The following is a 17,169-nucleotide window of genomic DNA, read 5'->3' on the forward strand; positions in this document are numbered from 1 at the left end:
TCTTCCTTAAAACTCATCAGTACAGGCCAGGCACAGTGACTCATCAAGTCTGTAATCTCAGCACTTTCGGAGGCCGAAGCAGGTGGATTGCTTGAGGCCAGGAGTTTGAGACCAGCTTGGCCAACATGGTGAAACCCCATCTCTACTAAAAATACAAAAATTAGCCAGCCATGGTGGCACATGCCTGTAGTCCCAGCTACTCCAGAGGCTGAGGCAGGAGAATTGCTTGAACTCGGGAAGCAGAGGCTGCAGTGAGCCGAACTTGCACCACAGCACTCCAGCTGGGGCGACAGAGTGAGTGAGACTCCATCTCAAAAAAAAAAAAAAGTAAAACTCATCAATACACACTCTGCATAAGTAGAAACATTTCTATTTTATGCCACATCTCAACTATGTTTTGTACCAAGGATTGCATATGACCCGTTTCTCTTATCTTACTAATATTATCCTCTTTGGGCTGCATTAGTCCATGGTAACGGAGTCTGGAGCAAGTGTGGTTTAGCAGCGTAGGTCTGTTCCCAAATGGAATGCTGGAAGCACCAGAGAGAATGTCAAGCACTTCATTTTGCATTTTCTCTGTAGATCTTGCATATTTATGTGAGCCACTGAATAGAATGCAAACAAGGGGGTAGATGGTTAGCATATTTTTGGAGTAGTTGTTTTTCTCCAAAGCAGAGGCTTAATGTCAAGGCTCCTTTTGGAATTCAGGGAGAAAAAAGAAAAACCTCAAAAAACTAATGAGAAAATGTGTCCTGTTGTGTAAATGCTATAAATATTTAACATTACAAATGTGTCTGTGAGTCACAAAACAATATGCTCGATAACAATTGCTTATTTAATCTTTTGTCAAAGATTTATTTTCTTAAAGTATGGCATGAAGGAGAGAGAGAAAGAGAGCACATTTACTACCTCTTTATTACCTTACAATAATCACTTTCCATGAAAAAAGCATTCAAATTCGCACTCAGAGAGGGAACAACTGAGAAGACTGCCCTTCCTGGAAGCAAAGCTTTGATGTGTTTAATAACAAAGGGTCTGTGTCTGCCATGGAACTGAAAATGATCTGAATGTCTATTGCAAGGAATAACTTCTCCACAAGCTTCAGACATCGAAAGTTCTCTATCATGAATCTCTCTCTCTCTCTCTCTCTCAACCTCTCTCTCTCATAAAAATCTGTCATATATATGAATAATACTATATGCTTTCATAAAATAATAATAAAATAAAATGTAATAAAATAATAGCTATTACTAACATTAAAATGACTTAGTATAGGCAACATTGACAGATGTTAAATACATACTAGGTGAAAAGTAGCTGATGATACATAACATCATACTTATAAATGAATGCACAGACTTCCCCTCAATTCCTGTGGTCTTGATCATTTTGCTGTAACTATCTCTTCAAAGCAAGCATTCAACATATCATGGTCCAATTTCCTTTTCTTTCCGGCTTTTTTACTTGCATACCTGTTTGAGTGTGTTATTTGAAAATTGCATTGGAAAGCTTTGTTCCCTGAAACAGGTTGATTTCATGAATAATAAGAATGACTTGGCTACATTGCCTTAGGATTTAAACTTCCCATAAGGGAATCTGTTCTACATTTTTCCCTATCCACTGGAGTTCAGAGACGGCAGCAACAATATCTGGGGTCTTTTAAGACTCTGGGTATTTCTTCAAAAATGATGATGCTTTATTGGTATAACTGGAAAGTCAAAAGTTATGCATAGTGTAGGTTTGAGCAAGCAATTCTAGGAGTATCTAGTCACACTGTGTCTTTTCTGAGATATCTGGGCTATTTTAGCTTGAAGATGAACTCATACACAGTTGTAGGTCCAGGTCGGGGTCCTCTACGTATTCTTCATCCACACAATATCTGGGAATGGCCTTCTCAAAACATAGACCTGAAACGAAAATTGTTGCTAAATGCTCTTCCAGTTTTGCTTATACCTTTCTCTGTCACCTCAACAGGAATTTTCTTGCCCAAATATGAAGCTCTTCGTACTAAGTAGGTATCTGTTGTTAGTGGTTAAGAGCATACCCCCTTCCAGAATACTGGAGTTAAAGGCATGATTGCTTTACATAATTCATATTTGAGCTTGGGAAAGTTATTTTTCTTCTCTGAATCTGCTTCTCCATGTGTAAAACATGAATAAAATATTACCCACTCTATGGGGACTAATGAAAATAAAATGCATTCGACGTAGTGAGCACATGCTGGCACGCAGAAAAGTAAAAATTATTAGCTATAATTGTGACTTGAACTGGATTTAGAGAAAATGTGATAATAATTTCACTGGCAGAAGTGGATTGGTACTATGTCCTCAAATTGGGTTGGGTCCTGTTGTGTATAAAATGGGCCGGGCGCGGTGGCTCATGCCTGTAATCCCAGCACTTTGGGAGGCCGAGGCAGGAGGATCACCAGGTCAGGAAATCGAAACCATCCTGGCTAACATGGTGGAACCCCGTCTCTACTAAAAATACAAAAATTAGCCGGGTGTGGTGGCGGGCGCCTTGTAGTCCCAGTTACTTGGGAGGCTGAGGCAGGAGAATGGCGTGAACCTGGGAGGCGGAGCTTGCAGTGAGCCAAGATCGCGCCACTGCACTCCAGCCTGGGCGACAGAGTGAGACTCCGTCTCGAAAAAAAAAAAAAGATTCTATGAAATGAAGAGGCTAACAAGAAATTTGAAATTCCTCTTTTTCCGAGGATCAGAACTACTCCACCTTTATTATTTACATATAGTAATAAGGATCTGATTGATTTATTGGGGATCGTTGACTATTTATTAATTGTATGTATAAATCAGGTGTAATGTAATTTTCACATTTTTGGCAGTTGAAATGTCATAAGTGCTATTTTTTTCCCTAACTTTTTCACTGTTTCTAACATAAGTGAAATGAAAATTAGGAACTTTAAAGACCAGGATTTACCAAATGGCATTGCAAGACCATATGCACTAGCCTGAGAAGTAACGTTATTCCTTTCATGGTTCTTTGATGCCATGTGGACACACACAAGAATCATTATGACATATAAATTATATATACTATTTTTTAATTATAATTTCTTCCATTAAAAGTTTCCACAATATGCTATGCAATGCTTAATTGGACATTTTAAAGAAATAATTATTTCAGGTTTAATTAATCTTAGCCCTTGTTGGCATATGTTGCATAACTTTTAACTGGAAACTGCTAGTTTTATGACAGTAGAAACAAGCTAACAAAGGAAAAATTAAAACTACCACAAAAACTTAATACCCGTCCCTAATTTTATAAACATATCAAAATAAATGCCTTGGTTTCCTTTTTGATTACTCAGTAACTGAGTTATGCGTGTACAGTAGGCCTATCTCCCAGAAGATATCACTGGCTCTGAAGGGAAGCTTCAGACTCTCCTCTCAGAAAGCCAGAATGTTGTTTCATAGAATTTAATCTAGTCCTAGAAATCAAACCCTACATAATAGTTTTGACTACCATGGCATTCTTTGATTTGTTAACTGTGCTCTCTCTGTTTTCCCTTTGAAAGCTTGTAGAATATTTTATAATTAAAGGAACGAGCAACCTGAAAAGATCTTTTTTTCAGCTTGATATTCCATACATGTATGTTTAATCTCTGCCTCTGACTCACTGCCTACTTTCTGTGATACTGAGCAGAGAGAATGCCAGGACTGTAGGGAATGTACCAAAACCACTGAGGTCACTTTATAAACAGAGTGTGTTTAAAGGAGGTTTAAAGAGATCCTAGGAAATGTGAGACCCATAGAAGTTCTGCCCAGGGAATAGATACCCCCACCCCCTCACTTACTAATTCTCTCTTGCTCAATCCATGGAAAAAGATTCAATCAGACAAGTTTCTGAGTTTAAGGTCAATTTGAAATTCTTTTCCTACCTCTTTTCATTTTTTCCAAGCCAAACATTTTACTGGCTCTGAGGCAAAAGCATAGAAGTTTATCCTTACTTGCCCTAGACACCCTGTTATTTTCATTTTAAATAACCAGTTTCTATGCTTGGAGCTTTTAACCCACTGAGCGAGATTTCTCTGGATTTTCTCTCCTCCAATTTGTCTCAATTTGTACTACTTTTTAAAAACACAGGCCAGTGTGTCCGATTTTGCTTACCCACACGCAACCAGCATCATACTCCACCTGTAAGGGTTTCTTTCCAGCGATTGCCCTAATTTTCACCTCGTCTTTGTAGTAGAAGTCCTATAAACATTGTCTATAAAGACAGTCTCAATACTTTTATCTCCTATTTTCTCTTTGATCTATTTTGACTAGGTCTTTGTTCCCACAAATTAATTGATACTCAAAAAAGTCACCGATGACTTCTATCTTACAAAATCCCATGGTCATAGGTATAAAATCTAAAACTATAAAATTTCTGGAAGAACATTAGGAAAAATTTTTAAACGTGTGTTAGTTAAGCAAAGATTTCTTAATTGTGACAGCAGAAGCAGGATTTATGAAAGAAAAAATGATATTTTGGGCTTAATCAAACTTAGAAACCTCTGCTCTTTGAAGAACATTAGTAAGAGAATAAAAAGAAAAGCCACAGACTCTGAGAAAATATTTGCAAAGTAGATAACTGATAAAAGTCTGGTGGACAGAATACATACAGAATATTCATATCTCACTAATAAGGGAACAACAAATTCAATGAAAAAAATGGATAAACGATGTGAATGGATAATCCACCAAAGAAGATAATAGAGTTGGAAGATAAGTACATGAAAAGATGCTCAGTATCATTAGTCATTAGGGAAATGGAAATTAAAACGACAATGATATGCCATCTTTTAGGATGGCTAAAACTAAAAGAAAAAAACCTATATAGCAACTAGAATTCACTTATATTGCTGGTAGTCATAAAAAATGGTTTAACAACTTTGAAAAGCAGTTTTAACATTCAGGTTTTTTTTTTTTCATAAAATTAAACATACAATTATCATATGACCCAGGAGCTAAGTATTTACTCAAGTGAAATGAAAACCTATGTTCAAACAAAAATTTCTATGTGAATATTTATTGTGAATTCATTTGTCACTTTCAAAACTGAAAGAATCATCAGTAGCGGAATGAAGAAACAAATTGTGGTCCATCTATACACTGCAATGCTACTCATCAGTAAATACAAAGGAATTACTGATATGTGTAATAAGAAGATGAGTCTCAAAGGCTTTATACTAAGTAAAAACAGTCAGATTCAAATGGCCACATGCTGAATGATTCCATTTATAGGACATATTGTGAAACTACAGAGGCAGAAAACAGATCTGTCGCTAGCTATGGGGAAGGTGTTGGCTACAAAAAGCCACAGGATATTTGAGTCCTGATAAAAGTTCTATGTGATGATTATGGTGGTGATAATACAACTGTGTATGTTTCTGAAAACTTGCAGAACTTTAAGCCAGAAAGAGTATTTTACTTTATGTAAATTTTACCTTAGTGAAAAAAAAGGCTGTGGACATTTACCCCATAAACAGCTATGATAACTGATTATCATTCAAAAATAATCTAGGGGTTAATTCTAAGTCTGCACCTTATCTGACCTTTCAGCAGCATTTGGCAAAGTTGACCACTTCCCTCCTTTCATGAATTACCTTTTAATTTTTTTAATTTTTTGTTTCATGCATAACACACTTTTCATGTTGGCATTCGACCTTTACTGACTGCTCCTCACAATCTCATTTCCTGACCCTTCCTCCTATTCTTTACCTCTAAATGCCGGAATGCCTTGGCTCTTTTAGGCAGGGTGGCCAGACCAGGCTTCTTTCAGGAGGGGAAAGTTGAACAGAAATCTAAACAAAGAGGAAACACAACGTTTCCTCTTAGGACTGGTGAGATAATTTGTGGGGTCTAGCGCAAAATGAAAATATAGGGCCCCCAGTTCAAAACTTATGAATAATTCCAAGATGGCAACAGGACAGCGTTAATCCAGGGGGCCCCTCTGAGTGCAGGACCCTGTGGGACTGTGCAGGTCACACACCGGATGCCATTGAAGCTGGTCCTGTTGCTGCTTCTCAGCACGTCCACTCCTAAGGCCCATGTCAAAGCTGAGCTGTCTCTCACAGGACAATCTCAGTGACTTTGCAGCTGGACTTCTTGCTTCTGTTCTTTTTCCCTTTTAGGAAATTATCCACATAGAAGCCAGAGTAATCTTTTTAAAATATCATTGTGCTCCTCTGCTCAAAACTTTTCAGTGACTTTCCATCACTTTCCTATAAAATCCCAAGGCTGGCTAAGGCTACCACCCCTCCAGATCTGGCCCCACCTGATTTTATGACCTTGTCTGTTACCACCCTCCCTTTCCATCACTTGCTCAAGCCACTCTGGCCACCGTGTTCCTCTTTAAGTCAGTCCAGTGCCTTTCCACCTCATGGCCTTTACACTTGCTAGCCCATTACTGTAGAACACGGCTTTCTCAGTTCTTTGTGAGATATATTCTCTTTGTTTTCAAATTTCTGTTCAACTCTCATATCCTGAAGGAGGTCTTCTGTGTCCACCCTGTCTAAAAGAGTTGTCCCTCTCCTACCTGCAACACCTCCTGCCAAGTCTCTTTATGTTCTCTTTCCCTGAATAACATGTTTTTCATAGAACTCATCTGGAATTCTCTCGTACACTACTTTATTATCCATTTTCCCTGCAGACCTGTAACCCCCATGAGAACAGAGGCTTAATCTGGTTTCTTGCTGTATATCTGGTGCATAAGATGTGCCTAACACATATTAGACTCTCAGTACACACACACACACACACACACACTCTTCTCCTCTTTGCTTTGGTACTTGCATTTCTCCTCTTTTCTTTGCTACTTGCTATAAAATTATCCCTGCTCCTTCACTCTTCCATAAGTAAATCAATAGTAGGCTGAACCATATGAAATGGTGACATTGTGAATACGTGATCATTTTGGAACTACAAAATGGCAGTTTCATATGGTTCAAATTAATAATATTGTATAAAAACAAAAACACATGAATGTGGCAATGACACACTGATTAAGATAACAAAGGTATTTGATAGGAAAGGTCAAACATCATGATCAGAATATTGTTCCATATAAATAAAACCTGGAGCCGCCACTGTGATGCCTCTACCTTCCTGTGAAAGTTACGAAGCCGGTAGAGAGTGACAGGATGTCTGCTTCCTGAATGATAAGAAGAAACGAATGGATTTCACACTGACAGCTTGTTAATCCACTACTTGGCAACCACAACATTGGAGACCAATCCTCAGTTTCAAAAATCCGCATTCTCTCTTGAAGTCTTATTTAAGTAATATCTGTGCAATCGATGAATGAAGCCAAACCAGAGACATGTATAAAAATCATAATGGTATTCACTGACAGATATTAGCTCTTTCTTTGCTAATCCAGAGAAAGGATTTTTTTTCATTTTTCTTTCCAGCACACCAGCTATTATTAAATTTAAGAAGTGCCAAAAACTAATCCTTTTTTTTTCCTATTTCTAACAACTGAAACATATAATCCCATGGTATTTGCACATTATACTTAATTGCAAATGGTTATCAACAGCATAAATCTCACATTAGTATGCTAGCTTCAGTGAGATTTGTTTGTACTTCCCACCTTTAATACTACGGATGGTTTAATACTGAATAATCTTTATATTTCAATACTTTCAGCTGCTTTTTACCTTTTTAGGTTTTCTTATCCAAAGTTTTCCCTGCAGCTTTGTAAGCATAATAAATCTATCGGCCTCCAAAGCCCACCTGACTTGAGACGTGATGGAGTTGGTAGGTTCACCAATTGAGTATAAGACTAAAGATTTCTTTCCTTATTCCTTTTCCAACTTTCTCCCATTGACTAATGTAATTTATATGCATGTGTATTCTGTGAGCATATTCAAACCTGAAATTTATGCTTTTGAAAAAATATAGCAATGATCAGGTTTACCTCTCTGATAACTAAATATATACTCATAATCATCAAACATTGCTAGCTCAATCTGTGCTACGCATATTCCTCCTATTAGGAAGACGTGCAGATGTTTTTGGTTATTAATCAGATACTAGATAAACAAAAAATTATTAGGAGATAGAAAATCAATTAAGTGAAAAGGAGAGTGACATCTATGCCTATGAAAGCAAGTCAGAGTTTCCTTATATGAACATAATAAATACCTAAAATTTTATCTCAACAGTTCTTTTTACCAGTTTTGAAAAAAATCCCAGCAAAATAAGTATATTGCTTAAAAATTTCATTATAAAGACACTGATAAAGGCTTACAAAAATTAAGTATACAGCATATTTTCAAATTAATCTTAACTTATATTAATCTGTTTATGTTTTTATAGAGCATTTTTCTAAGATAGTATGTGTATTAGAGAGAGAGAGAGAGAGAGAGAGTGTGTGTGTGTGTGTGTGTGTGTGTGTGTGTGTATAGTATGTGCTTCAGTAAGAAAAGACAGATGCAAATGTTAGTAGTGTGGTCCAAAACAACAATGTCCAATAATAAGGGATAATTAAGATGACTATTTTTGTTGGGGAAAAAATAATGCAGACATGGTCATCTTACTTGTTATTTATTATTAGATACTGAAGAATGTTTGACTAAACTTGCAAATGAGGGTACTTTGATGGAGTAGACATTTCAACTCACGTTCTTTTTTTTTTTTTTTTTTTGAGACGGAGTCTCGCTCTGTCGCCCAGGCTGGAGTGCAGTGGCGTGATCTCGGCTCACTGCAAGCTCCGCCTCCCTGGTTCACGCCATTCTCCTGCCTCAGCCTCCCGAGTAGCTGGGACTACAGGCGCCTGCCACCACACCCAGCTAATTTTTTTTTTTTGTATTTTTAGTAGAGACAGGGTTTCACCATGTTAGCCAGTATGGTCTCGATCTCCTGACCTCATGATCCTCCTGTCTCAGCCTCCCAAAGTGCTCGGATTACAGGCGTGAGCCACCGCGCCCAGCCTCAACTCACATTTTTAAAAATCTTTTCAAACTACATTGCTTTTGTTGAATAAAGATGTTCAAAACATGTAGGATGGCTTAGTAAAATAGACGTTAATAGAAATGGTCATAAAAGAAAGGTATAAAAAATACACTGCTTTTTTAGCAACCACATAGATCTTTAGCGGATATTTAATTCGTATTTTGGGATAATCTTTACATGAAACAATGATACTCTTTCACAATCTCCACGTCTAATTATAGTACACCTACTTAGATTTTGAATTTGGCAAATATGTCATATTTTGTTGTAAAGCATGCCTTCCTCGATTCTTTTATTTGCTAAGGGTTGGTTCTACTTTTAACAGTAGTTCCCAAGGCTGACTGCATATTAACATCACCCGAGAAGCGTTTACACAAAACGAATGTTTGCACTCCTACACAGAGCTATTGATTCAGAATATCTGAGGGGTGAAACATGGGAATTAGCATTTGAATTAATAATACACACTTTAACTGAAGTAGAATATGCATACAGAAGAATGCAGCCATCTTACATGTGCAGTTTAAGGAATTGTCACAAAGTGAACACACCTGTGTAATCACCACTCAGATTAATAGTATATCACCAGCACGCTAGGAATCCCATTCATTTCCTTTTGCAAATAGCCATTAGTACCTTTGAAAAGTCCCTCAGGGGTTTCTAACATATAGTTAACAATGAGAACCACCGTATTACATGCTAATTGTCTTGTATACCAATCTCTCTATTTTGATGGAGTTGTGAAGAAGAGGAAATAAATCAAACACATACTCTGTGTTGGTGGTTCCACAAGCATTATCTTATTTTATCTTTAAAACAACCATTTAGAATAGTTAGCATTACATCCCTTCAGATAAATGAGGAAGCAGAGGCTGAAAGAAATGACTAATTTGTGAAAGTGGTACCATTGAAATGAGAACACTGGAATGCAAATCCAGGCCAGCTTAGTGGTTAAAAGATCAAAGTGGATCAGGCTGACTTAGGTTTGAATACCAGCTCCACCACTTCCTAAATGTGGGACTTCGCGTCGATGGATTCAGTTTTATTATTAATGAAATGGAGATCATAATGCATTCTAACTCATCTAATTGCCATAAGGATTACATGTAAAGGACTTCAGTGCCTTATAACTATTATTATGGCTAGCATTAGTCTTTTATCTTATATCTGATTCCAGACTTAACTTTTCCCACTGCCTCAAATGGCTTCTTGTAAAAAGCCAAAGTGAAGAAGCCCCGTTTGCAACTTCTTGCCATATCTCTTGGTAATTGGTTGACTTAATTTCTTTGAGGACCATCAGAAGATTGAGTCATATGGAATGGGAGCCAGAGAAAAAGATGATCACAATGTATACACTAATAAAACTAATGTGTCTCCAAATTGCAAAAACACAGGAAAAATGGAATACCTATTATGCCCTTGCCAGATTAACAATTAGGTCCACTGATTTAAATTTAGAAGGACATCATTTGAAGAGATGTCCAGGTATTAAAGAAAAGTATGTTAAAATATTAATTATAAATGAAACTTATCATGCTGCTTTATAAGTTTACATTTCTCTCCTTTAATGGAATGTAGATAGAAATATAAAAATATATGTGAGTGTATATGTATATGTATATACACATATCTTCATAAATAGGTAAACTTATAAATAGGTAAGGGAACCAGGTTAATTAAAATAAATCAAGGGGATTGCCTCTCCTTGTCCCTTGAGACTGAGCTAACCAGTCTACAGGAGCTTTAAAAAGTCAAGTGATACTTAGGTGAGGAAAATAACATTATGTCACTGTTGTCCTTTCAGGTTAGCAAACAAAAGCTGGATACCGCAAATTACATAAGTTTCAGCCAGATATCTTTGCCTGACTAAATTACAATGTTAGGGAATTTCCACTACAGTCCTGGGATGTGCCCTGCCAATACCCTGCTTCCTAATTAGACCTGTTACCTCACTTGACCTACTCTTCCTGCTACTCATATAATTCTATTTAAAAAAAAAAGAAGAAAAAGAAAAGAAATAAATGAGAGTGATTAATGATCTCGTTGGACATGTATTTACCCTTCTACTTTGCAATGTGGGGAGGCAAAGATTAACAGCCTCCTTTAAGATTTCTCCAGCTAGATCAGTCTTGTGCTCTAGGAATTTCATAATTAAAACAATATATTTGTGGAAAGAGCTGTGACTAAGAATCAGCAGAGCTGTTTCACACCTGACTCTGACAGTTAAGTCTGTCAGGTCCTCTGGGTTTCGGCTGCCTCATGTGTAACAATGTTTCTGTTACCTCAGTTTCTCTGTGTGATTTGACTTTGGAAGGTTGAGGACAATATCTAAGAGATGCCACAGGGTTTTGTTCTGTTTATTTGCGGTGGTGTTTGCTTGTCTGTCTTTAAAGCTTTAGGTTTATGTCTATGTTAAAACTGGAATTTCCCAAACAAGCAAGGCAGAGAATGGCCAAATAATCACAAACTCATTGTAATCTTATGGTATCAGTACATCTTAAGGATATCCACTCACATACAGCTATTAGCAAGTTTCAATTCTGATTAAATTCCTCTTAATAGTTGAATGTAGTCAACTTTTTGTGTCTCAATTTTTTATTATTTTAATCTAATAGATTAAATCCTAGAAAACTTTGTTTTAAAATCAAGTATTTACTCTTAAATATGTTTTAATATTTATTAAATATAAAGTCTCACACAGAGCAATTGACTTTATTGAACAGACGTTTACAAGACTAATGGAAACTTCCTATTTGAATTATTCTATGAGATTGTCAGAATAGAATCAAATTGTACTAAACATTAAAATATTCCTCTTTCAAAACCTATGTAATTTTATCTTATCAGTCTATGCCTCAAGGATGTGATGAAGATATAGGGAATCAGAATGGAGGTATGAAAGTTGTGTGGAAAGGATACAGTGGTTTTCAAAATGTAAGGTATTAGTATGTAGTTGCTGCTATTTGAGAAGGATAATTTGACTGATTTCATATAAAATGTACGATAGTAGATGAATGAAGGTTTTAGCGTAATAATAAAGGTTTTAATCGTTTTTAATAAACATAGTTTATTATAGTAACCCTGTTAGGCATATTTTGGACATATTTTAGGATTTAGCCTTGCTTTGCTTTGGTACACTTCAAATACTAAGGTGTCTATCCTCATGTTGAATAAAGGCCAAGTGAATGGTGAGCCATTGGAAAAGCAGATGATTACGCTATTCTTTAGAAGTAGGAAATCTGGCATCAGCTGTCTAAATCGGTGTTTCGCAGAGTTAATTTCATATCACATTAATTCAAACAGGTTTTCTCAACTGTGGTACTCTTGATATTTTTGGCTGGGTAATTCTTGGTTGTATAGGGCCTGTCCTGTGCATTGTAGGATGTTTAGCATCCTGCTACTAGAGGTCAATAACACCTACCCATTTGTGGCAAGAAACAAAGGCATCCAGACATTGCCAAGTGCCCCCTGGAGAAAAAATTACCTTCAGTTAAGAATTACTTTTCTAATGTTTTATCCCCACTAAATGATTTTATGATGAAATTTATATGACAAATTCAGCAATAATATGACTCTCTCTTAAAGATTCACATTTAATATTGGCATGTTAAAGATTCTGAGAATCTTATTGCAAGGACACCGATTTACTCTTGTCTAATTTAACATTTCCCAAATATTTTGATGACAGGATTATCTATATCTTAGTAATAGCCATTTCAGATTTCTATACCATGTTACAAAACACACTGGAAAATTCTGGTGAAATTGAATATCTACACAAGCATTTGATTTACTTATAAGAAACGAGAGTTCTTATTAAATGTCTGACTTATTTCTGTATTTTTTTTTTCTTTAGAAGTAGTTTCACTCTTGTCGCCCAGGCTGGAGTGCAATGCTGCAGTCTCAGCTCACTGCAACCTCCGCCTCCTGGGTTCAAGCGATTCTCCTGCCTCAGCCTCCCAAGTAGCTGGGATTAGAGGTGCCCGTCACCCCACCCAGCTAATTTTCTGTTTTTAGTAAAGACGGGATTTCACCATGGTGGTCAGGCTGGTCTTGAACTCCTGACCTCAGGTGATCCAGCCACCTCAGCCTCCCAAAGAGCTGGGATTACAGGCGTGAGCCACCATGCCCGGACTATCTTTAAGTTCTAAAAAATAATTTAACTAATAATAGACACAACATCAACCATAGTAAGCTAATGAAATTGCCTTTTAGCTCATAACATAGTAGTTTACCAAATTACATGGCAGAGATTCATCATTCCCTTTTTGAGAGAAAAGTATTAGTAGTATTCTCACTTTTATGAGTCAAATAAATAGAGTAGAAAGCAGAAATCCAAATCATATTCTCAGGAGTCCACACTTTTGGTTGCCTGCTCACCTGTCATAGTATATCTTTTGGAAGTAGCCATCTCAGCATACTGTCGCAGGTACCAGCCATGCAATTAGGATGGGATCACATTCCCCTGCTGCATCTCCAGGGGCAATTGGCCTCATCCACTCAGCTCAAACCAATTCCATATTCACAATGACTGGCTCAGTGACAAACACTTAACCCAGGCCTAAACTGCTCAGTGCTTGGCATTTGGATAACTCTTTCCGGACTGCCCACTTGACCTAAGTTGGTCTGGTCAGATAGAGGCCTAGGACTTCAGTGCCATAGTTGGGGAAAGAAAAGCCCCTTGGTCAGGTCAAGCAAGTGGTCGGATGAGCAGATAGTTAGGTTAGCAGATAAGAGGCCTGTGACTGCTGCAACCTTTTGCTGCCAAATGGAAAAGTCACCTTCATGGGAAGCCAAAACATGGAAGAGGATGGAACCAGAGAATTCCAGAGTGAGAGATGTAGCATCCCAATCGAAATGCCTAAAGCCAGATCATTTTCAGTCGTCCAATAGCTCCTTTATTGTTTTGCCCACTTTGTGTTTAGGTTTCTGTCAATTACAGTGGAAACCATTCTTATCAATACACCCGAAAAGGAAATAGTAATAAATGCCATGTCATTTCAGAAATTAGTTATCACAATAGAAAACAAAATACTTGATTTAAAATTATTTTGCAAATTTCAAACCACATTATATTATTATTATTATGCCTAACTTACATCTTCCTAAGCTAGGTCACTGTTAATCACAAACTTCAAAATAGAAGAAAAAAATCAGGTAATATGGTTAGACACAATTAGTAAGGTAACTCCAAAGGAACGCCACAGACAACTTGCTATCTACTTGTCTAGCCATAGGTACTAGCTAGAAGTAAAAAAAACAAATATCTGGAGAGAATGGCCTAGGTGTAGCTTCCTAAGGAGAGAATAGTCAGGGTGAAAAAAGAACTTAGTATGTAACATGATAAAATGTTAACAAAAATAAGCTCTCAGTTGCCTTATTTTTGATAAATAAATGAATGATTCTGTTTAATTATTTAATTTATTGTGGAGAAGTTGGAACGAAGGAAATGATTAAAATCAGTCCAAATATTTGTCTAGTTTTTCCATGGATTCTTGCAAGCTTGTTTCTCCTTTTGATTCCATATCTAAGTTCTAGTTCTTGCAAGAGACACCTTTCTATACTATTCCTGCAGCTAATTATTATAATGCAACTCACTTTCGTCTTCTGAAGTCCAGACACGTTGAAAGTATTGGATAACAAAAGATACTTCTTTAAAGACTGTCACGTGATGGTGCCATTCTAAGAGGTGCCCAAGTTGTCACTGACTAACTCCAAAGGTGAGTTACTAACCCGTGCCTTGGAGGAGCTATGAAAGAATAGTTACTAGAAGCTACAAAAGACAAGAAAAGTGGGTTCTGAATAATTCTGAACATATCTTTAATGTCTTAGGAAGAAGCTTTTGTTTACAAGGGGAAAAAACCCCAAGTAAACAGGATCTAGTGACATGGCCACCTTCGATTAGAGTCTCTAAGAGAAAGGCCTTCCTAGACTCATAATACTCCTAGAGACCTCAACAGCAATACTTTGGGGGTCTTCATTGTACAGTCGGCTGTGTATGATGTGATTCAAATATTCCCCCAGGCCTGCTTTTAATGTCCAACGAAAAAAATAGTTTCCTTACTTTGTACTTAATTTTTTTTTTCTACCTAATGGCTCTGCTTACTCATAGTTTCTGTTACCTCATAACTTTGGCAAAGCCCATCATCATGTTTCCAGGCTGATTTCTACAACATTTAACTTTGGTTCCTCCTGCTAAATGACTCAGGCTCTTAGAATTTCCTAGTTCTGATTTTCAAGAGAATCTCACTTGCTGAGCTCATCTTTTGTAAGCCAGGCCATATCACAGTTTTCTCATCAGCTTTTGGATTGGCTGCCTTTGAGTCCAGTGTCTCATTCTTGGCCTAGGTGGGAATCACTAAGGAGGTGGAAACCTGTGCACTAAAATTATTATGAAGCAGTTTTTCCTGGTAAGGAACGTAGCCATGGTGAACAAGGTATGAAACATATCTAATAGAGCTTAACTCTTGCTAATTAGTAAAGCAAACTCCCTACATCCCATTCATCCAATTCAAAAGTTGTCCCCATCTGACACATTCCATCTATCACATGCATTGTAAATACATTGATACCTTAAGAATAGGATGCTTTTGTGTCAACTCCATCTAGTGCCTCCAGAAGAAATGACAAAAGGCCACATCAAAGACTATTTAATGATATTGGAATCCACTGGGCAATGGTCAAGACTATTGGTCTGGCGGTGGCTCACACCTGTAATCCCAGCACTTTGGGAGGCTGACGCGGGCAGATCACGAGGTCAGGAGATCAAGACCATCCTGGCTAACACGGTGAAACCCCGTCTCTACTAAAAAAAAAAATACAAAAAAATTAGCCGGGCGTAGTGGCGGGCGCCTGTAGTCCCAACTACTCGGGAGACTGAGGCAGAAGAATGGCGTGAACCAGGGAGGCGGAGATTGCAGTGAGCTGAGATCGTGCCACTGCACTCCAGCCTGGGCTACAGACCGAGACTCCGTCTCAAAAAAAAAACAAAAAAAACAAAAAAAACAAAAAAAAACCCAAAAAACTATTGGTCTGAAGCTAGGCTGTCTGGCTATGAAAGTTGGCTCCAATATATAATATCAGGGAAATTACCTTAACTTCTTTATTCCTCGGTCTCCTAGTCTGTAAAATGGGTATGTTCCTCAACTACCTTTTTTAGATTTTTGAGAGGATTAAGTGAATCTATGTATCTAAAGTGCTTAGAAGAATATTTGTCACATAGAAAACTAGCTGTTATTTTAAATAGTACCATTAAAGTATATTGGGTTTTTATTTATCTCCTCTTTGCAATCTGTAAAGTAAACAAACATTGCTAAACAATTGATATACAATAGTGGGAAATAACTAGAACTGTTATAACAACCAACTTTTGCAAAAGGGAAAAATGGGACACAAACCTTTATTTCTGTACCTGATGCCATGTACCATTCACTTGCTCTTGTCCTAAACATATATTTCATTTTCTGGAATAGTTCATTACCTTGTAACATATGGTTCTCATGGCTGGTACTAAAATGTCATTTATTTTGAGATGGTAGGATATTTAAGGGGATGAGTAATTTTAAGAGGATTAACTTGCCGCCTAACATTTTTTTTTTTACAGTGAAGAAAGTCATGATGCTCCCCTTCTCCAGAAAGCACAGAATATAACTTTATTAGCTGCAACATATAGCATGAAATATCAGAATTTCATTCCAGAAGCAAAGCCATTATAATGGCCTAAGTAATTCCAATTACCCCACCATTTCCACTAGCTTAAGCCCAATTCCTGGTACAAATTTGTTTTACTTGAAGTCTTTTTGTTTACTTAAATGTTTACCCAAAGTCTTTTTATAATTAAAAAGATTCTAACTCAAGTGGCCTTAATAAAAAGAGAGCTTCTCTTAAGAATATATGTGATCCAAATCTGGAATAAGAGTGTTGATGGGAATCAAAGAAGGTCTAGGAGCCAGTTCTTATCCATATCTCTCAGAGTAAATGAGACTCTGTATCTTAATGTCTTTTTTCCCTGAGTTTCTATATATTTTAGCTTTAGTTTGCCATATTCTCCACCTTAAAGCCCCTACACGACTTCATAGCTTCTCTCTCTGTGCCTCTTTTGACCTTCAGCAATGACTACTAATGGCTTGATTTTCTCTGTACTTCTCAATTAAAATCCCGGAGAAAGTGAGTGGTACCGGCCTAGCTTATTTTATTATAATTTCTTTACAGC

General features: G+C 37.1%; 1 annotated feature.

The window, feature by feature from the left end:
* Nucleotides 469–1,276: an enhancer, noted in NCBI's record as "OCT4-NANOG-H3K27ac hESC enhancer chr6:22878206-22879013 (GRCh37/hg19 assembly coordinates)". NCBI's record gives its function as "activates a minimal SCP1, AML or CMV promoter by ChIP-STARR-seq in naive and primed H9 embryonic stem cells {active_cell/tissue: H9 hESC(naive and primed)}" and the evidence as "EXISTENCE:reporter gene assay evidence [ECO:0000049][PMID:30033119]".

Source organism: Homo sapiens, chromosome 6 (assembly GCF_000001405.40).
Source record: "Homo sapiens chromosome 6, GRCh38.p14 Primary Assembly".
Classification (NCBI taxonomy): domain Eukaryota; kingdom Metazoa; phylum Chordata; class Mammalia; order Primates; family Hominidae; genus Homo; species Homo sapiens.